This window comes from Homo sapiens, chromosome 4 (genome assembly GCF_000001405.40).
Source record: "Homo sapiens chromosome 4, GRCh38.p14 Primary Assembly".
Taxonomy (NCBI): domain Eukaryota; kingdom Metazoa; phylum Chordata; class Mammalia; order Primates; family Hominidae; genus Homo; species Homo sapiens.
Genome location: NC_000004.12, coordinates 98,651,597 through 98,679,586, shown reverse-complemented (window position 1 = coordinate 98,679,586; position 27,990 = coordinate 98,651,597). Strand labels below are relative to the sequence as shown.

General features: G+C 42.6%; 1 protein-coding gene and 2 long non-coding RNA genes across 9 annotated transcripts in view, besides 3 other annotated features; 1 reads left to right on the top strand and 2 right to left on the bottom strand.

The window, feature by feature from the left end:
• Positions 1-938: 938 nt before the first annotated feature.
• LOC112267901 (uncharacterized) lies at positions 939-20,864 on the bottom strand. The gene is made up of 3 exons (XR_939016.3): positions 20,715-20,864; positions 6,160-6,323; positions 939-1,612 (listed from the first exon to the last, which is right to left on the bottom strand). It is a non-coding gene; the product is annotated as an uncharacterized LOC112267901 (long non-coding RNA).
• On the bottom strand, positions 15,036-20,685 carry TSPAN5-DT (TSPAN5 divergent transcript). The gene is made up of 3 exons (NR_148380.1): positions 20,565-20,685; positions 18,661-18,789; positions 15,036-16,597 (listed from the first exon to the last, which is right to left on the bottom strand). It is a non-coding gene; the product is annotated as a TSPAN5 divergent transcript (long non-coding RNA).
• Positions 20,819-20,998: a silencer, noted in NCBI's record as "silent region_15578". NCBI's record gives its function as "represses an Ori minimal core promoter by ATAC-STARR-seq in GM12878 lymphoblastoid cells {active_cell/tissue: GM12878}" and the evidence as "EXISTENCE:reporter gene assay evidence [ECO:0000049][PMID:35858748]".
• TSPAN5 (tetraspanin 5) overlaps positions 20,976-27,990 on the top strand; it is a 188,245-nt gene continuing 181,230 nt past the window's right edge. For 4 of the 7 annotated variants that reach the window (XM_005262680.2, NM_005723.4, XM_047449477.1 and 1 more), the window contains exon 1: positions 20,976-21,441. In XM_005262680.2, the coding sequence (XP_005262737.1) occupies positions 21,361-21,441 (81 nt within the window). In that variant the 5' untranslated portion in view covers positions 20,976-21,360. Of the gene's footprint in view, positions 21,442-21,937; positions 22,048-27,990 lie in introns of those variants that run through there. The other 3 variants (XM_047449475.1, XM_047449473.1, XM_047449472.1) reach the window with 1 other exon arrangement.
• Positions 21,252-21,411: a silencer, noted in NCBI's record as "fragment chr4:99579327-99579486 (GRCh37/hg19 assembly coordinates)". NCBI's record gives its function as "represses an EF-1alpha promoter that drives an FKBP-Casp9 reporter gene in an ReSE screen in K562 erythroleukemia cells {active_cell/tissue: K562}" and the evidence as "EXISTENCE:reporter gene assay evidence [ECO:0000049][PMID:32094911]".
• Positions 25,119-26,318: an enhancer, noted in NCBI's record as "CDK7 strongly-dependent group 2 enhancer chr4:99574420-99575619 (GRCh37/hg19 assembly coordinates)". NCBI's record gives its function as "activates an origin of replication core promoter dependent on BRD2, BRD4, P300/CBP, MED14 and CDK7 cofactors, with strong dependence on CDK7, by STARR-seq in HCT116 cells {active_cell/tissue: HCT116}" and the evidence as "EXISTENCE:reporter gene assay evidence [ECO:0000049][PMID:35650434]".

Below are 27,990 nucleotides of genomic sequence, written 5' to 3'. Positions count from 1 at the left end.
TTTCTTTTTGAGGGATCTTGATACAAATTCAAATTGCTTGTCTAAATTTATATCATCAGTACAAAAGAGAGTCCCCTTAACTGAACCTTTCCCAAGGATGTATATTATTATTTTTAAAAACAAATCTTTAGGGCTGGGTGCAGTGGCTCACACTGGTAATCCAGCATTTTGGGATGCCGAGGTGGGAGGACTCGTTGAGGTCAGGAGTTCAAGACCAGCCTGGGCAACATAGCAGACCCCATTTCTACAAAAAAACCCACATTGTTTTAAATTATCAGGGAGTGGTGGCATGTGCCTGTAGTCCCAGCTACTCAGGAGGCTGAGGTGGGAAGATCTCTTGAACCAAGAAATTTAAGAATGCAGTGAGCTATGATTGTGCCACTGCACTCTAGCCTAAGTAACAGAGTGAGACCCTGTGTCAAAAACAAAACCAAAACAACAAAAAAACTAATCTTTAGTAATAGTATTAGTGAAAAATGAGCACGATTTTTTTGTGTTGTTTCTTTGGTTACTATCAAGGATCAACATGCTTGCATATATGTGTTGACTGGGTGAATTTTCTCTTTTGGGTAATGATCTCTTTCATAAATATTATATTGGCCAGCTATCAACAGGGACCCTACCAGTTTTCGTATCTGTTTGCCTGAGGTCTTTATGTAGAAACTATATTAACTTTGACATTTTATGGAAAACATTTTTCCATTTTAATATTTGTCTAATAGTTGTTTTGTGTATAGAATTTCTCATTTTTATAGATCTGCTGGTCTTTATAGTTTTTTCTGTTATTTCTAGTATAGGAAAACTTCCCCCTTGTAGAAGTTTTATAAATAAATATCCATGTTTTCTTCAAATGTTTCTACTGTTAAATTTTTAAATATTTAAATGTTTAACCAATCTAGAATTCACTTTGGTGTGTGGAATAAAGTGAGAAATCAAAGTTTTTGTATTTCTAGGCATTCATCTCATCACCATTTATTGAATAATTTGTTCCTGCTCAAGGGTTTAATAAGCTTCCTATGGCATAATAGATTCTTATGTAAAATAGAGTCAATTTATGAATCTCAAAAACAAAATGTCCTAGACAAATTTTTCTTCAAGCATGTGCTACATGTTATTAATTTGCTACAAGGGCTCCAGGAAAGTGACAGAAACATGTGTGACCCGTATAAAAGTGGAGGGGTTATACAGTGAGAGACAGAAGGCTTGCATAAGTAAGCAGTTTTTTTAAAAAAATTAGAAAGATTCCATTTTTATTTTACAAAGTCATGAAAATATCATGTTCATATCAGCTGTGAAAAAGGAACAATGTGACAGAATGATCCATTATCCTAGGTGTGAATTATACTTTTCAGGTATGTTTTAGAATCCTTTTGTCAGTTAACAAAAATAAACCACAAATGCTTTGATACGGATTATATTAAACCACTTTCTTGGCCTCTAAGACTCTGTGCTCTCCAGGTTCTCTCCTATTTCATTAGTTGCCTTCTTTCAGTCTTCTCTGCTGGATCTTCTTTCTTGTCCCAAATTCTTCATGTTGGTGAGCCCCAGGATTCTCTCTGCATTCTCTCCGTCGATGACCTCATCCAATCCTCTGGCTGTACATTCCATCTATCTGTTGATGGCCCAACATGTTTCTATGAGTTTCATGATCTTTTAGCAACTGCCTACTCAACATCACCACTTCCACTTGGAGTCTAACAGACATTTCAAACTTAACATGTGTTAAGACTCCTGGTTTCAATCTCCAGCTCCTGCTCCTTTCCCAGTCTTCCCCAGTGAAGCAATTAGCACCGTGATCTAACCAGTAACTTCAGGACAAAAATCAAGGGACCAACCTGGATTCCTCCCATGGTCCCACCCTTCATACCCAACCCATCAGCAAATCTTTTATGTCTATCTCCAAAATCTATCTGAAATCTACTTCTGGTTCTTTCCACCCCTACTATACAAGTACAAGCCCATCTTTTCCAGACTGAATTACTGAAATAACCTCCTAACTGTTCTTACTGCTCTATTTTCCCCTCACCTGTACCCTGTCTATTCTCAGCATCAAGACCAGACAGCTCTTTAAAAAAAACCTTATTAGATCACATCCTCACCTGGTCAAAACAGCTACCACAAGACTTACACCCCAAAGTCCTGTTCTACAAGGGCCTGCACAATCTGCCCTCACATTACCTCCATCTTCATCTCCCACAGGTCTCCACTTTACGCACTCTGCTTTAGCAACACTGTATTTCTTTTCTTTTCTTTCTTTTCTTTTTTTTTTTTTTTTTTTTTTTTTGAGATAGAGTTTTGCTCTTGCTGCCCAGGCTGGAGTGCAGTGGTGTGATCTCGGCTCACCGCAACCTCTGCCTCCCAGGTTCAAGCGAGTCTCCTACCTCAGCCTCCCGAGTAGCTGGGATTACAGACATGCACCACCATACCCGGCTAATTTTTTTGTATTTTTAGTAGAGACGGGGTTTTTCCATATTGGTCAGGCTGGTCTTGAGCTCCTGACCTCAGGTGATCCTCCCGCCTCGGCCTCCCAAAGTGCTGGGATTACAGGCATGAGCCACCGTGCCCAGTGCAACACTACATTTCTTGCAGTTTCTAGACTATATCAGGCTGGTAGCATGTTGGGGCCTTTGCATTTGCTGTTCCCTCTGCAAGAAATACTGCTCTCCCAGATAGCCACACGGCTCTCTCCTACACTTTATTCAAGTATCTGTTCCAATGTTACTCCCTCAAAGACCTTCCCTGACCACATCCCCCTTCTTTCATTCTCTATCCCTTAACCCTATTTTATTTTTATTCAATGCACATATCGTTACCTGACACTATACTATATTAAGGCTTTATTTGTTTGTTGTGCCAACTCCTCAAGAATTGAAACACCAGGAGGGCAGAGCCTTTGTGTTGTTCATGACTGTATCCCTAGTACCTAGCATTTTGCTTGGTATACAGTGGGTGCTCAATAAATACTTGTTGAATGTCTTGGTTAAACCTACATTATTTGGAAAATATTTAAATATTTATATCAACATCTTTCTGCCCAGGAACATAGTGTATTTTTCCATTTTCTCAAACTTTAATAAATATATCTTAATAAAATTTTGTTCTTTTCTTTGACTATTTGAAAGACATTATGCATTAAAGCTACTTCTAGATGTTTTATATATTTTTTCTTCTTACTACCATATGAGCTTTTTTTTAAAACCATCTCAAATCTGTTTTAGAAAAGGTAAACTATATATATATATACATACATATACATACATTTAAAAGTTTCTAGCTGATTATTACAATTATATTGGAATGCTTTTGATTTCTGCCTATCTTACTTTCAGCCCCTTGTGTTTAAACAATTTTCAAGTTATTTATTTGGACTTATAGTCATACAATAACTGTCACAAAATAAGTATCATTTTATCTCTTCTTTGTTAATAGTATATCTTTTGTATCATGTGTTATTGCATTGATCACAGCTTTCAGAACTATATTAAACAATATTCCTTTTTTGTGCATATTTTAATGGGAATATAACTAATGTTTTGCTATTAAATATAATGATGGCTATTGGTTTTAATCGAATACTTTTTCTTATATTTAGTAAGTATTTTTTCTACTTCTCCTCTTAAAATAATAGTATCAGGGATTGCTGTTGATTCTTACCAAATATGTTTTAAGCATGTATAGAAGCAAGTCTATTCTTTTGTATTTGACATAATGATTGGATGTATTATGTTAATGGCTTTCCTATTATTTGATAACTTCTACCTCTCTGAAATAAGCTAGCTGACTGTGGTGAATTATTTCTTTATTTACTACATTTGCAACTTGATAATATTTATTTTGGAAGGTTTTCAGCTTTTTTTTTTTTTTGAGACGAGGTCTCTGTCAGCCAGGCTGGAGTGCAGGGGTGCAATCTTGGCTCACTGCCTTGACCTCCCCAGGCTCAGATGATCTTCCCACCTTAGCCTCTTGAGTAGCCAGGACTATGGGTGCATGCCACCACCCCCAGTTAATTTTTGTATTTTTTGTAGAGATGAGGTTTCACCATGTTGCCCAGGGTGGTCTGGAACTCCTGGGCTCAAGCGATCTGTCTGCTTTGGCCTCCCAAAGTGCTGGGATTACAGGTGTGAGCCACCACACCCAGCCAGTTGTGGATATTTTATGTCTCTCAGTAAGTGCTGAATATTTTAATTTAGAGTTTTCTTGCTGCTCTTTCTTCCTGTTCTTGTCTACCTGTCATTTCACTATTACCACCAATCCTTATTATTACTGGCAAACAGACAGATAATAGGGAGGAAGCTATTACTTCTCTGCTTCAGAGTATTGTCTCAAAAATAAAAATAGCCCTGTAATCTTCTTAACAGGTAAGAAGGACCAGGTGGTGAATATCTACAGAAAATGGTTCCATCAAGCTGGATTAGTGGGGTGTCACCTTCCAATATAGATAAAAGCCTGTCAAGCCTCTGTTTGACATTTATTAATGGGACTACCATTTGTTGAAAGCCTTTGTGTGTGTGTCAGGCACTTTACATGCATTATCTCAGACTTCATCTTAATTCTAGGAATTGGATATTAATATTCCCATTTTACAGATGGAGAAACTAAGGCAGGAAAGGGCTAAATAATTTGAACAGTTCAAATAATTTAACAGTTCAAATGGCTGTTTGTTGGTAGAGCTGGAATTTAAACACAGGGATCACTGGCTCCAAAGCCCACTCTCTTTCCATACAGCGACAAGGCTCACAGGGCAGTGCTCTGAAGAAGCAAGACCTCAGCAAACGAGGAGAGAGAAGATAAGCATGCTGCAAGACAGGATGTTATGACTGCTGCGGAAGAGTCAAGCACAGTGTTACTGCCATTCAGATTCATTTGGAAAGAGCTGGAGAGCCATTGGGAAGGAGGTGGCTTACAAAGGAGAGGAGGGTATTTTAGGTGGAGAGAAGAGTAAGGGCAAAGGCATAGGATCTAAAAAGCCTAGGACATGTTTACAGAAGAAAGGGTAATGCTCTTTAGATGGTGGATTGTGTTCATGCTGCTATGTAATCAAAGATAAGCCTGGAAACTTAGATTGGGTTCCTATTGTGAAATCTAAGAGATAGATGAAGGGGTTTGTTTTTAAAAGATAGTCAGCGGGGAGCCATTGCAGTTTTGAATAAGGAGCTAACAAGTCAGATTGGGGTGGATCATAATGGGTAAAGATGGGAGAATGACACTCCGATCACATGACTGTAAACAATTTATCAAGTAATAAAGGGAGCCCGGTTTGAAGAGTGGCGGGAGGAATGGAAAGCAAGGACCTGGTTTAGGATCAGATACAAGGGTAGGTTTACTATGTTTGTGCAGATGGGATTCTGGGGCACGGGGAATGGCAGTCGTGGATGCCTTCAAGTCACTGGGAGCCTGAGTCACTGGAAGAAGTGTTGGGCCACTACAGATAAGAGGATCTTGGAAGGCAAGACTGGTTGTTGGAAAAAAAGTTGATGAGACACCCGGATAGAATGTGGTTGTTTATAGAGGATTAGATTTGGAGTCATCTACCTAAAAATGATAACTTACATTGTAGGGTGTCATCAATGATCAATGTCTTTTTTTTTTTTTTTTTTTTTTTTTTGAGATGGAGTCTCGCCCAGGCTGGAGTGCAGTGGCGCGATCTCGGCTCACTGCAAGCTCCACCTCCCGGGTTCACGCCATTCTCCTGCCTCAGCCTCCCGAGTAGCTGGGACTACAGGCGCCCACCACTACGCCCGGCTAATTTTTTATATATATATATATATTTTTTTTTTTTAGTAGAGACGGGGTTTCACCGTGTTAGCCAGGATGGTCTTGATCTCCTGACTTTGTGATCCTCCCGCCTCAGCCTCCCAAAGTGCTGGGATTACAGGCGTGAGCCACCGCGCCCGACCATCAATGTCTTTTAGGAGAGCAGTTTTATTAAAGGTCGAAGGGCTGACGCCAGGCAGAAATTCTCAATCCTAGTTACACGTCAAAACCACCTCTGGATCTTAAAAACCACATCTGTTGAGTCAGAATCCCCAGAGTGGCAGATCAGACCCTTCTATCATTTAATACCACCACAGGGGATCTGCTGGGCAGCCAGAGTTGAGCACCTCAGGAGAAAGGGTAGAAATTTTGCTGTGAGAAGGCAAGAGTGAGACAGCCTCTTACCTAGCCAGGAAGAGAGATGTACCATCTGGGTTTCTCTTTAAGTTTCCTCTTTCACATCTTTCAAGCACCTCTTCGTTTTGCAGATTCTATTGATACCTAGTGAATACTTTTTACTGAGAGCCTTCTGGTCGCTTTAGCAGGCATTCATCTCCTCTTATCATAGGCTGTTAAAAAAAATCAGAGGGTGGTAGAGCTAGAAGGAAACAGATGTTTTAACTTTCTTTAGCATCGGATACCTTTCAGAAAATGAAATCTTACATGAAATCCTGATGTGTAAACAGACCAAAGCAGAATCATTCTGAGAGAACCACAGCCCAGAGCCCACTTACTTCCCCACTTGCCCCAAGCAAGGACTTTAGAGAGTCCTTCCAGATCTCAGGATCTCTATCTCACAGGTTCAGTGCCACCTTCTCTCTTTCAGATAAGGAAATTAAGATTTTTGAGTAGTGAAATAATCGATCTTAGGTGGCATATTTCGGTTAAATCTCCTAAATCCTTATGCAGTTTTCCTTCCTTCACAGGGTGTTGTCTCCCCTTCTGCCAGTCTGACATCTCCCTAAAATTCACTCTCCATTCCGACAGAGAAAGGTACACAGGGAATCAAATTACCCACAGCAGCCTTGGTACAAGGTTAAGTGACAGAAGAGGCTGCAACTCCTGACTGCCATGAATTATGTGGTTTATCTACAGGGATCTCATTTATTTCTGCTGCTCCAGTTGCAGCTCTCTCTGGTAATTCTGAGTGGCCTGTAAAATCATTATCTGGCCAACGGAGGGAGATAAAAAGCCTTGTTAGTTTTAAAGGGAAAGTTTCAGTGATTGAAGTTTTATCAGCAGGATGAGCACGGAAAAACTTTTTTCCTTATACTGATCTGAGGAAAAAGTAATGAGACCTAAGGCATTATAATTGAAAATGAGAATTGTTAAGTATCTTTTTTGCATATTTTATGTGACTGTCAAGGGAGGCTACTATGAGGCATATTTGGCCCTAATATACTTTTGGCATCTAGTATACTCCCTAGTTGTCCCAAAGCTTTGTCCTGGCTGCATCTCATTCTTTGGGAAAGTTTGTCACAATAGAAGGAACCACAACTTCTAAAGAGAATAAGATAAATTTCTGACATGAGGATACTTAACTTTAAATTCCTATATTTAAGAAAAAAATTATTCAGACACTTGAAGGATTCTTACTAAATCATTGCATTTAGAAGATTTAACCTCTTTTCTCATACATGCTATTTTCTTGTACAATGTGCCTTTGCTGAGGTTGCATTCATTGTTAATATTTCGCTGTATAATCACAGGTCTAGATGGGATGATAAAAAGCTAGTCCATTGCCTTGTTACTATGCAGGCACATATTTCAATCACAGAGACTGTGTTCATCTTTTTTTAAGGAGACATGGAGCAAGGTTTTCCTTGTATTAATGCCAGGTGATTTTGCAGGCTACTATTTAGCTCACAACTTCTTGTTCAAGTCTGAAGAAGAGAGTAGTTGTTATCTCCAAATTATCTTCTAGCACCCTGCAACAATACTCATTTCTTTCATTTCTGGCATCATTGCAAATTTTCTTCATCCATATTGTAGGGAAGGTCCTGATATTTGTGTCTGTGAGGGGACTATGCTCTAACTACATCCCTCTGTAATTCATGGTGTAAGTCAGCAGCTAAACTGGCAGGATAGAAATCTTTTCCCAGAGTGGCAATCAATAAAACTCATGAGTATCCCTTCATACGGATGCTTATCTTAGCATCTAGTTGAGTTGAGGAATCCAACTCAGATTCATTTACACAGCAGTACTAAAAACTAAAATTGGAAGTTCAATAAATAAATGAATAACTTTGCTAAGATAGTCCTTCTTTAATATCTGAAAATTCATGTTTAACAGAATGCTGCACTTACCTAGCTGTTTACATTTTTTCCCTGCATCTCCCTCCTTCTTCCTTTGATTTGTATCAGCAGCCAAAGCAATTGTGGATTGAAATACATATGCATTGATTTCCAGATTTCAGGCTTTGCTCCTCCTCCCTCTCTCCACTGCCTTTGGCCACTCCTTGTCCTACTCCATCTTCTAGGCTCTCAGTCACTTAGCTCTGTGTATTGAGAAGAGGCTCACCCAGACTGTGCTTAGTGTCCTGGTGGCTGTGGCTAAAGGTATGTAATCATAGTAATGGTAGCATGCCTTGGATTTACATAGACTTCCCAGCATTCTCACTTTAATCATCTCCATAGAGGACAAGGTTTAAATCCACAAACAGCAACTCCCCTCACCAAGAGACTAGGGTGAGCACTTTGAAGAGTGCTTGAACACAGTATTTTCCAATATTCCCAGCTGAAGAGTATTACCTGGGCACTTGTTAAACATTCAGATTCCTGGATCCCAAATAGACCCACTATAAATATGAATGCTTAGAGAAAGGTCCTGGGATCTATGTTTATATCAACAGCCCTGGAGAATTCACATCACAAGACAAGGTTAGAAAACATTCTGCTAGAAAGATGCCTATTGCTCTCATAGGCTCAGTGCCAGCAGCTCTAGAAGGACTCAATGACCAAAGTGCTGGGCATTTATATGGTGCCAGATTTATAGTGTCAGATGTATACCAATAGCAGGCTGTAAGGGGAGGCTGGGTGCTAGAGATTCTACTCAGGCTACTTTCTTGATCCTAGAGAGGTGCTCCAGGTGGTGGTGAATCCTAAGGGACTGCAGAGCTAAGAGGAAGGGACAGAGTGTCTTTTAATAACAGCCCTTGGGCCCTCTTAATTGGCTTGGCCCAGACCTGGTGTAGTCTGACCCAGGTTTGCAGCTTGGATGTGTTCTTCCTCCCAGGACCATGGCCTGATCCGTTAGTGTAACAGTGTACAGAGTGTTTGTCTGGTTCCCAGAGAGTCTTCCCTGCCCTAAACCAGAGTCTTGGAGAAAAGAAGGTGGGGATGGACCAGCTAGAGTAAAGCGGCAGGTAGGAGGTGAAGTTATGGAAACTGCAACCAGGAAGCTTGCACATTTCTGGGGCTATACAACTCAGCAAGGTGCTAGGATTCAACATAGTACTTTCATCTATAGGAATTAATCATACTGAGGGATAAGAGTTCTTGTTCTATACCTCAAACTTTAGTTTCCCTTAGTGGTAGTAAGTATTTATAGAGCTAAATTCAACATAAAATCTTAGATTTTCGGCCAGGCGCAGTGGCTCATGCCTGTAATTCCAGCACTTTGGGAGGCCTTGGCGGGAGGATCACTTGAGGTCAGGAGTTCTATGAGACCAGCCTGGTGAACATAGTGAAACCCCATCTCTATTTTATTTTTTTTAAAAAAAGTCTTAGATTTTCAATGATCTTGTACTGTTTTTACTTTTAGAGGATAAATGATCATTGAATTAAAACAAAAGTTAGTTTTCAGTTATAAATCATTACTGTGTATTTTATGCCTAATAACTTAATTATGTCACTCTGGAATTGATGAATTTGAAGAAACATGGAAAATTATATTGGTTATGGCTGTGAATCTAGTGATGTGAAGATGTTGGATTTATGTATGTTAATTTGATTCATATGCAAGTCAAAACACGCATATTTTTAATCAGCAAATGGTTTAATATGCTTTCCACACTTATAAAAAATGAAAAGTACTGCGAGCTATTTTTTGCCTCGTCATTCATTCTGTCAACAGTACTTATTATGAATGTGGTGCATTTGGGTACAAGGCAGAGTTACAAAAGCAATAGAAAATACATCCCTTTTGTAACAGAAGATAGAATAAACTTAAACACAATTTTTTCTCACTTTATGCTTTGAGGAGTGTTTCTAAGGAAAATCGTGTGGGTCATTTGAACTTTTATGACTCAAAGATCTAAATATTAAAAATTCAGAGCTGATTTATAACCATGTTGTTGGACCTTCTGTTGTCATTTTTTATTAGTCATTCATTAATTTATTCACTTTTTATAAAATAATATTATTCACCCAGCATGTGTGAAATACTTGCAAGGCAGCATGCTACAAAGAAAACTTGATCCTTGACCTCAAAGGGTTCACTGTTTACTAGAAAAGGTAGCTGAACTATTAAAATGAAAACTCGGGTCATCAGCTTGGAAGGCAGCTGTGCTCTCTCACCGCCACAGCCCAACTCACCTCAGCTGTGTTGAATTCTCATGCGAGGCTTGAGAGGGGCCAGTGCCTCCTATAAGAGGACAGAAGTGAAGGTGGGCTGATTTCTTGCCCAAGACTGTGTGCTGGACAGTCTTCCAGCTTCCTGAGCTGCTTCTCTAAAGCTTCTTTGTACCTCCTTCCAATTAGCCCAGAAACTGGTTCCAAGCCAATCCCATAACCTCCCGACTCTCTTGATAAGATATTAGTAAAATTATTACATAACTTTTTCAAAGTTAATTTATAGGTTAAATCCAAATAGCGTTTCTGCTCTCAACAGCTTTTGTTGGGGTGTTAACGATCCATTAGTGAACAATTAAGTTTATGAGGGAAGCAGCTGCCTGTTTAAAGGGATGCTTGGATAAATTCCTCAGCAAAGTAGATCCTTTTATATGTAATAATGTCTTAATTTATTTTTACAATTAGATTTTCTTTTATTTTAGATTTGAGGGTTCATGATTCCACTTATATGAGGTACCTAGAGCAGTGAGATTCATGAAGCAGCAGTCATGAATCTGACTGCTCCAGGTACCTCATATAAGTGGAATCATACAATATTTGTCCCTTTGTGTCTGGTTTATTTCACTTGGCATAGTGTTTTTGAGGTTTATCCATGTTGTAGCAACTATCAGAATCTTGTTCCCTTTTAAGGCTGAATAACATTCCATTGTAGCTATATATCACATTTTGTTTATCCGTTCAAACAAAATGTGAAATATGTTGATGGCCACTTGGGTTCTTTCCACCTTTTGGCTATTGTGCTGCTATGAGCATTGGTACACAAGTATCTGTTTGGATCCCTGCCTTCAATTCTTTGGGGTATAGACCTAGGAGCAGAATTGCTGGATCATATAGTAATTCTGTGGTTAATACTGTAAGGAACCACCAAACTGTTTTCCACAGCGGATGCACCACTGTGTTTAAATTTTAAAACTTATTCTCTCAGTCTTGATGTCATTCAAATAAATGATTCAGATATAAGGCATTAAGACTTGGTTAATTTAACTAATTGTTATTCCTACTAACTGCATTTAGTAAATGCTACTAGTACAGAAAAGAAAAATGAAAAAAATAGAAAAGAATAAATTGGAAGAGGTGTTTTTTCACAATCCCATTTTGAATATTTATCATACACATATCACACTTTGTTGGAACTATAGCACTGAAACCATTCTAACCCATGTTCTTACTCCTGTTTGTCTACTTTTTTCCAGGTACAATCTTAGGGCAGGAACCATGGAAACAGGTGCATTAACAGGAGATGTGTTTTTTTGTGTAAGATGTGTAAGTTTTTGTTGTTGAATCAATTGATTCTTTATAATAAAACCTAAATGAATATCTGATTAATCTGCTAATATCTATTCCTGTTTCTGGACATTAAATTCAATGTTCCAGTAATTATAGTTCCATCAGAAAGGCATATATCACAGAAGTAAAGCTTTTAGAAGGTAAAAGAAACCAAACGGTGACAGGAGAAATTATTGGATATGATTAGCATGCCCAGTGTTAAATGGGGCAGATTTCATAAGGGGTTGAATTATGCTTAACTCTGCAAAATACTTAGATTTTGGTGACAGATGGAAGGGTGGAGTTTGTGGACTGGGGCATGGCATTCTGAAATTGTTTGGAGGTAGGAATGTAAGGGAACATGCAAGTACTTTTGCCCTACAAGAATGAAACAGGCCAGGCATGGTGGCTCACGCCTGTAATCCCAGCACTTTGGGAGGCCAAGGCGGGTGGATCACCTGAGGTCAGGAGTTCGAGACCAGCCTGGTCAACATGGTGAAACCCCATCTCTACTAAAAATACAAAATTAGCCGGGTATGGTGGCACAGGCCTGTAATCCCAGGACTTGGGAGGCCGAGACAGGAGAATTGCTTGAGCCCAGAAGGTGGAGGCTTCAGTGCCCTTGACCAGATGGCTGGTAGACTACATCAGGCTGCTGCTGAAGTCACAAGAGTATATGCATTCATTAACAGCTATGGACAAGGACACAGGCCTGTTGTTTGCCTACCCTTGCAGGGTGGCTGACCAACAGCACATCATCGGGGCATTGCAACACTTACATGCCCTGTATGGTTGCCCTCTGTCCATTGAGAGTGATAGGGGAACACATTTCACTGGACAACAGGTACAACAATGGACACAACAAATGGACATAAAGTGGGGATTCCACGTGCCATACAAACCACAAGCTGCGGGTATGACTGAGCAATATAACGGACTGTTGAAAAATGGGTTACGCTTGCATGTTATACCACCGTCTTTGCGGGGCTGGAGTTCCAGGCTGGACCTGGCGCTCCAAACCTTGAATGAACAGCCATGGAAAGGTGGCCCAGCCCTGGTGGAGGCTTTGTTACACTAAGCCACCACCCCCATGCAGTTGCAGATACATACCAAGGATGACCTCCTTCAACCAGGTATGGGGATGAAAGGTAACCTGTTGTTGTCTGCCCCAACACCCCTGATGGCAGGGGAACAGAAAACCTGGCTGTGGCCATGGACCCTCCAAGCCCCCCACTGCTGGTGGTTGGCCATCGGAGCTCCCTGGGGGGAGGGCCTACAGTATGACTCGTATATCACTCCTTGGGTGTTCAATACATGGCCCCTACAGCGGGAACAGCCAGGGAAGGAACTCTCCTCTGGGGGACATGTGTACTGTCTGTTTGGCCTATTATGAGCTCTCCTGTGACTTTGGCACAGATACAGGACTCAAAGGAACCATGGGGAGTTGAGGTGTGGTACCATCACCCAGAGCAAAAGCCCTTGGTGGCTGCATTGTTATCCAGGGATGAAAGATTAGCCTGTATTTTGCCTGAGGGATATGATTTACCTCTGTTAGTACCTGTACCTGCTCTGTCATTTCAACTGTAGGTTAACATGCTCTAACTGCATTTGGACTGGGCCCACACCTACGCTGAGGTGACCAAGTTTCCATCTGTTGGATCTGCACTGCCCTTCCAACAGCAGCTGCAGATGGCTTGCCTTGGCACATACATTCAGTATCTGCAGAGAACTGGACATGGCTGGAGACCTGGGGTCCCATGGCTGATGTCTGTGAGGCAACATGGCAAGCTTTGAAAAAGGATGCTGTAAGACCCACAGCACACCCGCCCCCTGGCTGGCCTGTAGTGTTTATGATGGGTGGGGCTGGCTAGCGGGGGAACATGCAGTACCCCAAGCCCAGGTACTGTGGTACATAGAGCCACATTGGGGCAACACCCCTGTGGGATGGGTACCCATCATGGCCTGTGCAAACATAATACATGTCACCACACTGAAGGTATGATGGAACGAGCGGCCTCACCAAGGTTGGGCCCCAATGGATTTTGTGTCCCCTGGGAGTTTATGGGTCTGTGGGGACACAGGGTGGCCTTAGCTACCAGTGAACTGGACTGGACATTGCACCTGGGGGTGGCCTTACCTGCCAATGTTCTCCCCAAGTTGCCCAGATAGCTCACTTAACTGGGAGGTGCTATGTTCTCGGTTTGTGCAAGTGCGACGAGTCCCCTGGTGGTTCTGCCTCTTGGCAGTGACTATCCCTGGAGTGGGTGTCATAACCGTAGAAGCACAAGTTACCACTCTTGCACAGCACACCACTTGGGCTCTGAATTACACTTGAGTGGCCCCCCTCCTGTTAACCAATGAGGTTGATCAGATTAGAAAGGTGGTATTGCAAAATCAAATAGCCTTAGACATAGAAACTGCTGCCCAAGGAGGCACCTGTGCACTTTTAGGAACACAATGTTGTACCTTTATTCCTGACAATCGGTAGAACATAACAGCAGCCCTGCAAGGGGTCTCATGGCAGATTAACGCAGTTGAGAGCCTTACTGATGATCCCCTGTGGAGATGGTGGGCATCCCTAGGCTCTGGCCTACACTGGGCCCTAATAGTCATAAGTGGCATAGCTGGGATCCTAGTAGTGAGGTGTTGCTTTCTGTATTGTTGTTGTGGGTTATGGATTCAGGGCTCTGCCCTATGGGCACATGTGCCTGCCTGGAGGATGCCCTAGGCCTAGGGGGTGGAGTGTAAGGGAAATGGCTGTGCTTTAGTCAGGAGTAGGCTGAGGCAGGCTTCCGGCACAGCATAACTCAATGGGTTTGGAGCGCAGGCGCATAGCTCCGCACATTATGTAACCAAGCCATGTGAGGCACATTAGGTGATCACCCATGTGAGCTTGTGCTGGGCTTGGAGCCACTACTGTCTGTAAAAGGTATAATTACCCTGCTAATGCTGTACATATGGCTTGCTCACACCCAAAGAGAGGGTAAAGCCATGTCAAAACTGTCTATGATTCCTTTAGTGTTTTTCCAGCTACCCACCACTCATCCACTGATTCCCGTTGGATCTCAATTAGAACCTGGCAGCTAGCTTATGGGAACTCGGACATCAGTTAGAACCTGACAGCTAGCTTATGGGACCAGAGGGAAGGCAGAAGAATCAGGAGGCTCCCAAAGGTCTCAAGGGCAGCTTCAGGCTTGTCCAGGGGCTGCAAGAAATGAACTCCAGGTGGCTTTTGGTCTCTTTCTTTGCTCTGCTCAGTATCAGGAAGTAAGCTTCTAATTGGCTGAACTTGTGTCATGTGCTTGGCCCCTGGTAAGGTAACATCAGGGCCTAATGCCTTGATCCACACAGGTCTAGCTATCTCCAAAGCAGCAGGAAGTTGAGGTGCCAGAAGAAGATGGAATGGCCGAATTAAAAAAAAAAATCAATTACTGCTCTGTCATATTGTGTGAAAGACATAATTCATTTTATTGTACAAATGATTATAATTGATTCTTAAAAGTGAAACAACTGTGCTCTACATATGCTTATTCAATCATATTTACGAGACAGATATGCCCCATTTTATGTTATTCCTGGGGATCTGAAAACTGGTCTTTAGTAGGTATGTGTGGGCACAGGGCAAGAGGGTCACAGTGGGCGGTAAATCCTGAGGAATCAGTTAATTGTTTTGTTAGAGAAATAGACCATTTAACTGCTCACTTTTCGACTAAGGAACAGAAGATACAATATTAATTCATTAACTATAACAAAAATATAGTTTAATTTTATATCATAGCTAACTAAAAAGTATTTTAAGTTGACCTCATTTCATAAAGGATTTGAGGTGAGAAGACCTTTTGTTTTAATCAGGGTTCTTTGATTTGAAAATTTGAGATACTCACTTCAAAGTATCTAAAGCCCAAATGGGATGTGATGAATGATTCCATCTAAAAATCTCATAGACCTCAAAGACAGAGTCCTCTTTAAATCTAGAAGCAGGCCTTTAGCAGGGATGGGAGCCTTTCAGAGCACAAAATGCACAACCATACACAGCACCCAGGCTGTCAGACTCTGCTACTGTTTTTCTCTGTTTAGGCTTCCTTCCTCTTTCTGCAGAGGATGAGGGAGAGTCTTGGCTTCCTCCTGGAAATGCGGACCCACCCCCAGCTTTCGGGTAAACATTGCCTGCACTTCAGCTGGGCGCAGGGTTCCCTTTGTTACTGAGACAGACTCTCAGGTTGGCCCAGCCTGAATCTACCGGGACCCCATCAACTGTGAAGTACAAACCTCGCTGGAGGTGGGAGAGCACCTTGTGGTTGAGAAGGTCTGAGAAAGGGGTGGGTGTGATCTGTCAGACACCCTAAAATGTTTCCCTGTATTGTTTGAGACAGAAACAGCTAGGGAAGAGAGGGGGTGGTGGGTGTGGGGAATAGAAAAAACGTGGTACTAAGAGAAATGCAGAAATGCTGGTGGTGATTCAAGAGGAGAAAATCAATAAAGGCTTGGGGCAGAACCTCAAAAGGTGTTTAAGTCAGGATACTTTCAGTTGTATGAAACGGAAAACCCCTGTCAAAGTATCTTAACCAAGAAATTTGTCTCATCTGACAGGAAGTCGTGAGTAAGGCCACCTTCAAGGTTGGTTAAGTCAGCCATACAACAAAGGCTGGAAGGCCCTGGTTCTTTTTATCCTTCCACTCTGCCATCCTTGGTGTGGTCTTTGTCATCAGGCTGTAGAGGATCGAGGCATCACATCCAAACCCAACCAAGTCCAAGGGCGAAAGAGACCATTTCTTAGATGCAAGGAAACCTCTAGCAGATTCTTCTCATGGCTTGTTGACCAGAATTGGGCCACCTGCCCATTCCTGAACCACACATTAGCAAGAGGAATGGGACTGCCAGATGTGACGCAGAGGGCCAGTCTTCCCAGAGCATGTGGCTGCTTTAAGAGGGGGACGCTGAACACAGCTGCTAGGGTTCTGAGAGGAAGGCGGCAGGAGGGGTGTGGAGGCAACCAGCAGGGCGGCTACAGAGAAGCAAAAGAAAAACAGAGAGGAGCAGAGAGGCAGACAATGACAGAGCCCAAGAGGAGGGAGGCAGGAAGGTGGGCAGGAACAATAAAGCACAGGTGGAGACAGACAAGCTCGTTAAGTTTGGTGTCTTAGGTTAAAACGCTGTTGTCATATCTTGCTCCTCAGCCAGGCAACTATTAGAAGAACACGCTTTACCTGTTTTCACTGCCACTTGAAGAGCTGATTAACTTGTCAGTAGTTAAACTTATTAACCATTTTTCAACCTCAGAGTTATAAGGGAGGTGGCCTTAGCAGTATTCAGACAGAAAATTTTTCTCCTTTTCTCCTTAAAATAGATCAGCATTTATTGAGTTGTGAAGGAGTTGCGTGAAATAAATATGATTACTTAGTTACTTTCTTACATCTTTATGTATAATTTTATCTTCTTAATTGTAAAAGCAATTTAACCACACTTAAAAATTGCAAACCAGAAACATGAAAACAAAATCACCCAGCCTTATAACTGTTCTTATTTGGCAAAAATTAACTCCTAACTTTTTTTCATACAACTGCATACCGTTTTGTAGACTGCTTTATTTTTCAAAACGTGTATCATATACATGGTACAAATTTCAAAAACAGACTAAAGGGGTTATTTAAAAATAAAACATGTCTCCTTCCTATCAGTATCTTTAGTCCCCCAGTTTGCCCCCCATTCCACCCTAACTCGCTGTTACCAGTTTATTTCGTTTTCTTCCATAGATAGCCTACCCATTAACAAGGAAATATGTGTATGGATATTCTTTTGCCAACAGAGCTTATCTTTTCACAAAATGATAGCCTACTGTGTACACTGTTTTTGTTCCTTGTTTTTAAAATTTAACAATATTACTTGGAGATAATTCCATATATAGTGCCTTTAAAATTTAACATTATAATGTATCCATATATTGCCACATACTCTATAAGCAGTATCTTCAAGAGCTGTAAAAACTGTGAGCAAATGACTCATTCATTCCTTTAATAAATATTTATCAAGCACCTGCCATATCTGCAGAGCTCTGGTGATTCTAAGATTACCAAGGGTTAGGTCACACCCTAGAAGGAGTCACAGCAGATTGAGGAGACAGGTAGGTAAACAAGTTCTTACAGGCAGCCTTTAAGTGCCGGGATGGAAGAACACAGCGGGTGTTGAGGGAATAAAGAAGGAGCCTCCGAGACATTGAACAAAAGTAGTGAAGAATAAGAGAAATCAGCTCACAGACAAGAGACAAGGAGAATGCCCCAGGCAGAAACTCTAAATGACATGTGCAGAGGCACAGAATGTGAAGGAACATTGTGGTCCAAGTAACTACAAGGAATTGGATATCACCCCTACTCTTTGATCTTTAATTTCTGGCCAAGTCTTCAATATAAATAATGCTATGATATACATCTTGCAGTGTATAACTTTTTCCATCTGCTGGGGTATTTCTTTGGGTAGATTCCCAGAAGAGGGACTGCTGAGTCAAAATGTAGGAGCACTCTGACCTGATATATACAGCCAAAATGCTTTCCAAATGGACATATTATTTCATAAGGACACCAACAATGTATGTGCTAACCAGTGCTCATTATTTTTGTATCTTTATTAGTTTTAATGTATACTTCATTTATTACTAGATTAATTTCCCCATATATTTTATTTCTTATATGATTTATTTTCTGTTTATACTCAACCACTGCGATTCTATATTTTACTATAGCTCTATGAGCCCTACTTATAATATAGACATTCAGGTTTTTATTTTTCATGTTTGCTGCCAATTTTTTTTCTGGTTTAGCTTACACTAAAAAAAGCTGGACACGTAGAAGTGTTTAAGATATTACCCAATCATATCCATTGATTATTTCCTTCTATTGCCTCTAAGTTGAGAAATACTTCTATACAGAGGTTTGACAAATATTTTTCCTTCTGGTCTGCTTTAAAATATATTTAACTCCTTAATCCTCATAGAACTTATTTTGGATATACGAAATGAGATAATTCAATTAGTTTTTCCACCCCCCCCTCCAAATTACTGATTAGTTATCTTACCTTTCCCTTCTCCATTGATTTTTCTTTTTAAGACTTTATTTTCTTAGCAGTTTTAGTTTCACAGCAAAATTGAAAGAAAGACTGCATACTGTATGATTCCTTATATATGGCATTCCGGAAAAGGCAAAACTAAGGAGACAGGGATACAGTCAAACTTCAGTGGCTGCCAGAGACTGGGGGGAGGAAGGGATAAATAGGTGGTGTACAGAGGACTTTTAGGGCAGTGAAAATACTCTGTATGATACTATGATACTATGAGGGTGGGTTCATGTTATTCTATATTTGTCCAACCCTATAGAATATACAGCCCCAAGAGTGAACCCTAATGTAAACTATGGACTTTGGGTGATAATGATCTGGCAATGTAGGTTCACTATTTGTAGCAAATGTGCTACTTTGGTTGGGGATGTTGACAATGGGGGAGGGTGTGGGGTCGGGTATATGGGATATCCACTGATTTTTATTTCAAAGATAAATCCACTTAGAGATCAACTCAGTCATCAATTGCATCTAATTTCTGGTCCTTTTGAAATGTGTCACATCAGCTTAGGACAGACCTTTCTTCTGACTCATCCAGTATTCCTGCAGCGACTGTTCTATTTATATACAGAATTACAACATAGCTCCAATAGGCTTAGGTAAAGCTTGTCAGTACCTTCCTGTTAACAAGGAAATCTGCTGCTGAAAGACCTTACTTTTGAAGTCTACCAGATTGGTGGTAGTATGGCCTGTGTTTTGAGTGGGTAGAGAGCACTTTTGAGGGAGTGAGGATTATTTCATCCAAAGGGCTGAAGCTACTGTTATCCCGTGTCATAGCTTCTGAGGTACTGAATGAGTAGGATCTCCTGGCCCTCCCATCTCTGTGGGTACCTCGTTCATACTTGCGACCTCAATATAGCCTCAATCCTGCTGAAGCCCAGTACTATCTCTAAATGTGGTTTATTGCAGGAAAAAGTAGCTTCTTGACTAGCCAAAACTTGACTGCCGGTTGTCAACTAGCCAGTTTTTGAGAAAAGTGAGAGGTTGTTACGTAGGAAACCTTATAACTAGAGGCTCTCAAACTCAAGTATTTAAGTATCATCTTTTAGATTTCTGTGTCCAGGATCGGGTTGCACTGGGTGGTGCTGGAAAAATTTTTTGATCTCACCTCCTTCTAGCCTTTTGAATCCTTAAAAATATTCCCATAGACATTTATACACAGTCCTGGGCGGTTCTTCCTTCTCCTTCCGTGAAATACTGGTACCTGCTTTGCCAACACCTATGAAAGTGCTCCAGGAGGAGGGCGGATAAGCAACTAATGAGCACACCTGCTCAGGTAGGGTTCTAAAACAATTTCCAGCCACCTGTTCTATTCTTCCCCAGAGTTCAAAAGCTTAATGGTTCGTGATCCAAAAACCCAATTCAGATTCCCCAGAAGACCTCCCTGGAATCCGTTGTGGATTCCTTCCTAGAGTTAGGAGGCAAGCAGGTTTCTTAGGCACTATTCTGTCGGGGTAGGGGGGAGCGTGCGCTGTCCGGGTTTGTGTGGTTGCAATAGACCCTAGGGCGAGGATCGCATCCCGGGCCAGGACTCCCTTGAGCCATCTCTTTTTCCTCGTCCCCATTTCTAGGATAAAACCCATTTCTCCGGTAGGTGGGGAGGTTGGGTTAGAGTCACACAGGGATTCAGGAAGCTTTCCTTTTCAACGTCCCATCCCTTCATCCTTTCCTCCCACTTCCCGTGGCTCTTTTCTCCACCTTCCCCAACTACCCCCTTTTCCATTCAGCGAAGTCCACGACGACTTTCCTTCCCTGTCCAGTGGCATCGCATCTTCTCTAGCCACATAAGCCTGTTGTGGAGGAGGGGGCGCCAGTGTGGCTACCCTGGAAGGGGTGTCGGGGGTGGCTCGCAGGTCCTCACTCACCCAGCCCTCTCCCCGAGGAGCGACCCTCTCGCCCGCGTCCCTCCAGAGCTGCGCCGCTCATCAATCCCGGTCACTCTGCCAGCCTGCTCCCCGGGCGCCCTTCCTTCTCCCTCTCGCCTGCGGTCCTCCACCCTCCCACCCCCTACCTACCCCGCAGCGACGTTCGGGGTCAGCGGCGCTTGGGGTTGGCCCGAGAAGGGGCGGGGATAAAGCGAGCGGTGGAAGGAGGCGGCTACGTGGTGCCACCGCCGCCCGGGAGCGCCCGACCCCGTGCGCGCGCGCGCCTAGCCAAGGCTTGGGCGGCGGGCGGAGCTGCGGGCGGCGCGGGCGGAGGAGCAGCCGGCCGGGCGGGCGGAGCGAGAGGCGGGCGGAGCGAGGGGTGGGAGGGCGCGCGCGAACGGGCGGGCGAGCAAGCGAGCGGCGTCTCCACCAGCATCTGCCGCGGCCGCCTTTGCCCGAAGCCCGGGGACGAACCGACGGACCGACCGCCTGGCGCACGGACGCGGGCGCTCGCTTTGTGTTCGGGGCTAGCGTCGGCGAGGCTTGAGCTTGCAGCGCGCGGCTTCCCTGCTTTCTCGCGGCCACCCCGGCTCCGGCGGCCTCGGCGCGCGAGGGGCTGGAGGTGCGGGAGCCGCTCTCCGCCGGTCGGTCCCCGCGCGGCTGAGCCCAGGCCGCCAGCGCCGCGGCCCCGTGCGGTGTCCCTGAGCTCCTGCTCCCCGCCGGGCTGCTCCGAGCAACGGTGCTTCGGAGCTCCAAACTCGGGCTGCCGGGGCAAGTGTCTTCATGAACCCAGAGGATGTCCGGGAAGCACTACAAGGGTCCTGAAGTCAGTTGTTGCATCAAATACTTCATATTTGGCTTCAATGTCATATTTTGGGTAAGTTGGAGCGCTCCTGGGATTCCAACTATTGTGGCCGATCGATTCGCGACGATTTCCCCCACGTTGTTCGTTGCCTTTACTTTTCGCAGCCCCGCAGGCGCTTGCCGGAGCAGCATAGAGGCATTCGCCTTCCGCCTTTCCAGCTTGCGCGTTGGAGAGATAAACATTTAATCCTTTCGAGGAATGGGAAGAGGTGAAAAGAGAAATCGAGGCGGAAAGGGGGCACCGAGGCCTTCTGGTGGCTTTTTGAGGAACGAATAGCAGGGATGCAGATAAAAGAAAGGGTTCGGCAGTTTGAGAAATGAGCAACCACACGAATTGGATTTGCTCTCGGTGGGATATAGATGTTGGGCAGAGCGTGGTGTCATAATAGGGAAGGCTAATCGGGCACGGCCGACCCTGAGGTCCACCTTCTAACAACGATCTGATTGGACGAGGGCTTGGCTCCGTGTTGCCGCGGCTGGTCTGTGCCATGCTCAGCGTGTATCTTCTTGCACCATCTCGGGCTTTGTGTAGGATGCAGATGCCGTGGTATATGGTCCTGTAATTGCACGTAAATAACGTTTCCTGCACGCTCTCCTCTTCAGCTGGAAAGCGCTCCCTGTGCGTAATGGACTGGTCAGTGGGGGTGCGGGGTAGAGGGATTTATTTGTATGTATATATCATCGTCAGGATAATAAGTCACCGTCAACATATATTTCAGTGTGTTCCTGCCCCACGTCCTCATTTTTAAAGGAGTGACACAGAGCGGGCCGTTTGGGGGAACCTTTGTAGAAATGCAAAGGAGAAGGTGTGCGAGGCATGTTTTATTGGGGAACCGAGAGAGCAAATGCTTTAACACAAGATTCAAATGATGCTCTGCTTGGGACTGCAATGTGTTGGGAACCTATTGTAATTAGGCTGGGACGCCTACTCTTTTTGTTTGTTTGTTTGTTTTGATTCTTTTCCTTGATCTGGCAAACGTGTTCAGCAGCCAGACAAAGAGTTCTCCAGGACAAGGGGAAAACGTTGGTTCAAAGACCATGTTATTTTTCTTCCCCTTCTCATCCCATCTCATCCTCTTCCTCAGTGGGCACCCGCATTTCCATAGAAAGTAAAGATGGTGGCTGTCTGGGTAGGGGGTTCTCTAAGTTGCTGTTCAGTGTGAGGTAAACAATGCTCCAACTGCAGGATCAATAATTATCCACAGCAGTCTGAACACGGAATGTATTTATTTGAATTCTCCTTTAATTTGGGCTGTTTGCTGTACGTATATACATCTGTGAGAATAGTTGTCAATACGGCTCTTCATATTCTTTTTTTGTACCGCACTCTTACCAGGTTATTTTATTTTCTGTTTTCTATTATAATACCTTGCATTGGTCATGTATGTTTTGTGAGGGGAAATGCAAGGGATTGGAGACCACTTTCCGTGTCAGCATGTCATCTGTCTTCAGGACTAATAAAGATAATGAGGGGACACATGAATGGATGTCATATCCGATCATTCCACAGGCAGTTTTTTGCCAGTGTTGTGCATGATTCCCGGGAGCAGTCACCCACCTCCCTGCAATTAAACACTGCTACAAGTACAGGAAGAAGGAATTATTTTCTTTCTTTGCCCCTTCTCCATTTGTGAAAATGTTTAAAAGTGGTGGGTAGCCACGGTTTTGAGTAAGATATTCTGATTTGATTGGAACTTGAAACTTTGTGACTTGGAGAGGCACGGACTACCGAACTGGGACTGGTTCTTTTTGGGGTAGTGAGTTCAGGCCTCTTGTTTCTACTTGAACATTTCTAAAAGTTGCACATTTTAGCTACCCAGCAACAAAAAGCACCCAGGGACTTTCTCTGCCGTTTCCTAGCAGGGGGTGGTAAGGAAATAAAAGGATTTGGGTCTGTTTCCCTGACAGTTTGCTGTAATTCTGTGGAGTGCATAGAGACAAATTTAGCCCTTTCTATGGATTAGGTTGCAGCAAAACCCCTGGAATTGTAGAGAGCTTCAAAGAATTGCAGAGTGCTTGCTTGGAGAGGTCCAGAACAGAGCCGCATGTTTTCTGATTGTGAAGGTCTTCATAGGTGGGTGGGTGAGTATGGGAAGCCTGAAAGGAGACCTAGGCTATGGGACTAAACTAGCTGCCCCAGGCAGAATTGTTAAGTGAGTGCCTTCCTTATGAGGGCCCTTCACTTACCCTGCCTCTTGCCTTCCCTTCCTCTCCTCTCTGTGCCCAAAGCCTTCCTCTCAGATACTCCCTCATACCTTTCCTATCCTGCTCTCTGCCTCAAAATTACCCCATATTTAAATTTCCTGCTTTATTGTACCATGGTCTCTAGTGATGATCAACAGAAAGGCAACCATATGGTTTTGGTTAAAGTAATTCAGACTAAGATGTTAGTGACTGAAAAGCTGGGGTCAGTAGCTTGGCAGCTTGCTTCTGAAAAGTTACACACCTCTGCTCTCTACAGAGTCACCAACCTGTCTGTGATTGCCAAAAACAGCAGACTCGGTGCTACTCCCATACAATTATGAAGAAGAGATTGCCAACAGCATGGTTTCCTAATTTTCATTTTCACACTGAACTGCTAGACTACATTTGACATACACTGGTGACATTCAAAGGTATAGTTCTGGTAAAATAAAATTGAACATATGGTGGCACCAGCACTGAGAGCTTGGTTCTTTTCCTGATCAGCAGTTTGGCTCTTCATCAGTTAACTGCCTGGGCCTCAGTTTCTCAGCTGTTAAATTGAAGGAGGTGGATGAGTTATAACGTTCTTTCTAGTTCTTACACAGAATGAGTTTCTTGAGTTCCAATATGCTGGAGAAGAAAAATAGAAGAGTTTGGCCACTAATTTATAACAGAAGTAGTATATACCAGGACACGTGATAAATTATAGACATTTTCTGTTAGGGAGACTTGTCTGAAGACTAGTTTTATTACTTTCATTTCTTCCTCAAAGATCCTTTCATAAAAAACAAACAAACAAAAAACAAAAAACAAAAACAAAAAAAAACCAAGGCTGGGCGCGGTGGCTCACGCCTGCGATCCCAGCACTTTGGGAGGCTGAGGTGGACGGATCACAAGTTCAGGAAATCAAGACCATCCTGGCCAACATGGTGAAACTCTGTCCCTACTGAAATACAAAAAACTAGCCAGGTGTGTTGGCGGGTGCCTGTAGTCCCAGCTACTCGGGAGGCTGAGGCAGGGGAATCACTTGAACCCGGGAGGTGGAGATTGCAGTGAGGCAAGATCACACCACTGTACTCCAGCCTGGCAACAGAGCAAGACTCCGTCTCAAAAAAAACAAAACAAAGCAAAACAAAAAACCTTTCACTAATTTCTTCTTGGCTTGTTCAGTTCCTGGTATAGTGTCCGTGCTTCTCTCTCCCCACTGTGAATCTCAAATGTAGTCCTGTGAGTCATTAAATATATTTTTATTATTAGAATTACAGCTTCATGTATAAAATCTGAATCCTTTTATATAACAGTTGTAATGACATTCTGAGTAACAAAGTCAACATCTTGTACAGATTCCTTTCTCATTAGTTATCACAGGCTGGTGGGGGAAAACTTGTTTCCTCTGTTATATATTGGAACAATTCAAGACAGAAGGGAATTGATTTTATTGAGGGTGTCACCGTACTGGGACATTTCTCAGAAAACCCTGAGACTGCTTTGGGTTTGGGGGAGGGAGAAGAAAGAGGATTTTGTTTTAAAGTCATTTCTTTGGGGTACCGAACACCACATCCCATCACTCATCATTAATAGATGTTTTGCCCTTTTGGATTCTGGCTTTTAACTGTTTTGGATTCTGGATACTTAACTGTTCCCAGGCAAGTAAATTGATCTCAATATTCTGGTTATTTATTGCTACATAACCTCCAAGCTTAGTTGTTTAAAACACAGTTGTTTATTATTATAGTTCACAGTTCTGTGATTTGGCCAGGCTCATCTGGACAGTTCTCACTTGGGGTCTCATACAGTTGTGGTGAGATGTAGTTGGAGTTGGACTTACCGGAAGGCCCTCTGGGCAGGATGCCTGAGATGGTATACTCATATGACTGGAAGCTGATGCTTGCTGGGAGCTTAGCCAGAGTTGTCACTGGAGCACCTACCTACACGTGGCTTCTTCCTGTCTCTAAGTCTTAAAGAAGCTTCCAGCCAGTTAAGGTTCCACTTAGAACTGGCAGTGCCACTTTTATCTATTCCATTGGTTAGAGCACTCATGCAGACTGCTGAATTTCAAAGGGTGAAGAATTAGAAGCCACCTTTTGATGGAGAAGTGTCAAGGTCACATTGCAGAAAGTCATGTAGGTTGTGGCCATCTTTGAAAAATATAGTCTACTGTATTAAGGCACTGAGCCTTAATTTCTTGTTTATAAAGGAAAGATAACATTAATGGTGTTGTAGTTTTAAAGATTCAGTGAGATAATGTTTTATTCGGCATAATATCTCAATATTTAACAAATAGTGAATATCATTACTGTTGTTGTCTCCAGATTTTATACTGGTTCCATACAGGGCTATAGAACTTCTAGAATGCCTTAGTCTAGTACTTTGGCATCATTACTACTAGGTAATGATAATACCCTTAAGATCTGCCAAGAAGATGAGGCAAATGGATTCAATAGATTTTATAGTGACTTGTTAGGAAAGAACTCAATGGAAACGGTGGAATGATTTGGGAGAACCAAGTCATTTTTCTGTTTTCTTTGCTACAAAGGATTAGAAAAGCCTCAGTTACTTGAGGCCAACTTTCTCTTTTGATATGCTTTCAGATATTACCTTGTGTCTTTAAGTGCAAGTTTATCCAGGGTTGATGGCAGGATCTTGCCTCTAATTTGCTTCCACAGGGCTTAATTCAGAGAGGAGGGAGACTCAGGAAACCTTGGGGCGGTGGGGGAGGGGGGGCATCAAGTAGGAAGCTTTATCTTATGATTCACTATAAATTGCAAGATGTTCTGGAATGATGATACATCAGCAGTTTATAAGTCATAATTTTTGTTTTAATTTGCTAGACATCTGTTAGCTTCGATGGCAACCATATGGGAATCTAAATTGCGTTTTGAATTACAGGGAGATGGTAGGAAGAAAGCTAAATATGGTTATGAAAGTGTCATATGGGAAAAGTGTAAGAAAGGTATAAAGTGGGGAAAGTAATTGAATATAGGCTTGCTTAGTGTGGCCACTCCCTCTGTGGGGCAGTATGAAGGCGCAGAAGCATTCTCACTTGATATACTCCGCAGATTGAAATGAAGCCAAGTGGGGAGAAGTTGGAAAACCAAATCATGTTTCAACCACCATAAACTTGCCAAAATGTTGCACTCATTTAGATGGGTCACTTTGTTTTAATGTCCACAGTAATAGGTAGTCCCTGGCAAAAGGTGAAAGCAATCTGCATTTTTAACAGAACTTTTCACTAATGATGTTTTTCTTGTAAGCACCCCAAAGAGTCTTCCAAGAATATTATATCTTTGTGACAGATGAAGAAATTGGAGTACAGAGATGTGGAGTAACTTTTGAGGTGTTGAAGAGCATGTCAAGGTTCAGTTTCAGAGTGTTAAGTCTCTTCCGTAATGATAGCCCCAGCTTTTTGGGTGGAGACTTATTTTAGAAGATGCTTGTTATTCTAAAATAAAACATCAAGTAAGTCATTTACATCTGTTCATAATCGAAAAGTGATAAAGTTTTTGCATATGCCACAATTAACACCACCCACAAGCACAAAAAAGTTAGGATGAAAATGTTCTTCAAGAATATGGTGGAATAATTGTAGCCTATTGAAAATTCATAAATGAAAATTGGAGTATTGTAGACAGCATTCTTGAATCACATGTTTGTTTCTGTGTGTAATACTGATGACTGTCTTAAAATTTCTAACTTCCAAATAAATCATACTCCACTGGATTATAAGGGCTTCAAGTGTGGGGGCTGTCTCACTTTCATAAGCCCAGTGTCTTGCGCATTGTCTGAAACACAGTAGATGTTTTGATAAACGTTTGGGCCAGGCTTGGGGGCTTACACCTGTAATCCCAACACTTTAGGAGGCTGAGGCTGGAGGATGGCTTGTGCCCAAGAGTTTGAGACCAGCCTGGGTAACATAGTGAGACCCTATCTCTACAAAAAAAAATTAAAAATTAAAAATTAGCTGGGTGTGGTGATGCGTGCCTGTAGTCCCAGCCACTTGGGAGGCTGAGGTGGGAGGATCACTTGAGCCTGGGAGGTTGAGGCTGCAACTGCACTCCAGGGTGACAGAACAAGACCCTGTCTCAAAAAAAAAAAAAAAAAAAAAAAAAAGTATGTTGAAGGAAAGAATTACAAAATCATCAGAAAGTACGTAGGAATCATCTCCTCTAACTTCCTAGTCAGTGAAGCATTCTCCATTGTATCGTGCCTACCTTTCTAAGCATGGATCTGTTTTTGGACCACTTTAATTGTAGAGTTTCATCTGTTCAAACTAGATGTTATCTGTCTCCCCATCATTTCCATCCTCCTAATTTACTGTTCATTTAAAATTTTTATTTGGAAACATTAAACCAATAGGAAAATTGCAAGTAGTATAGAG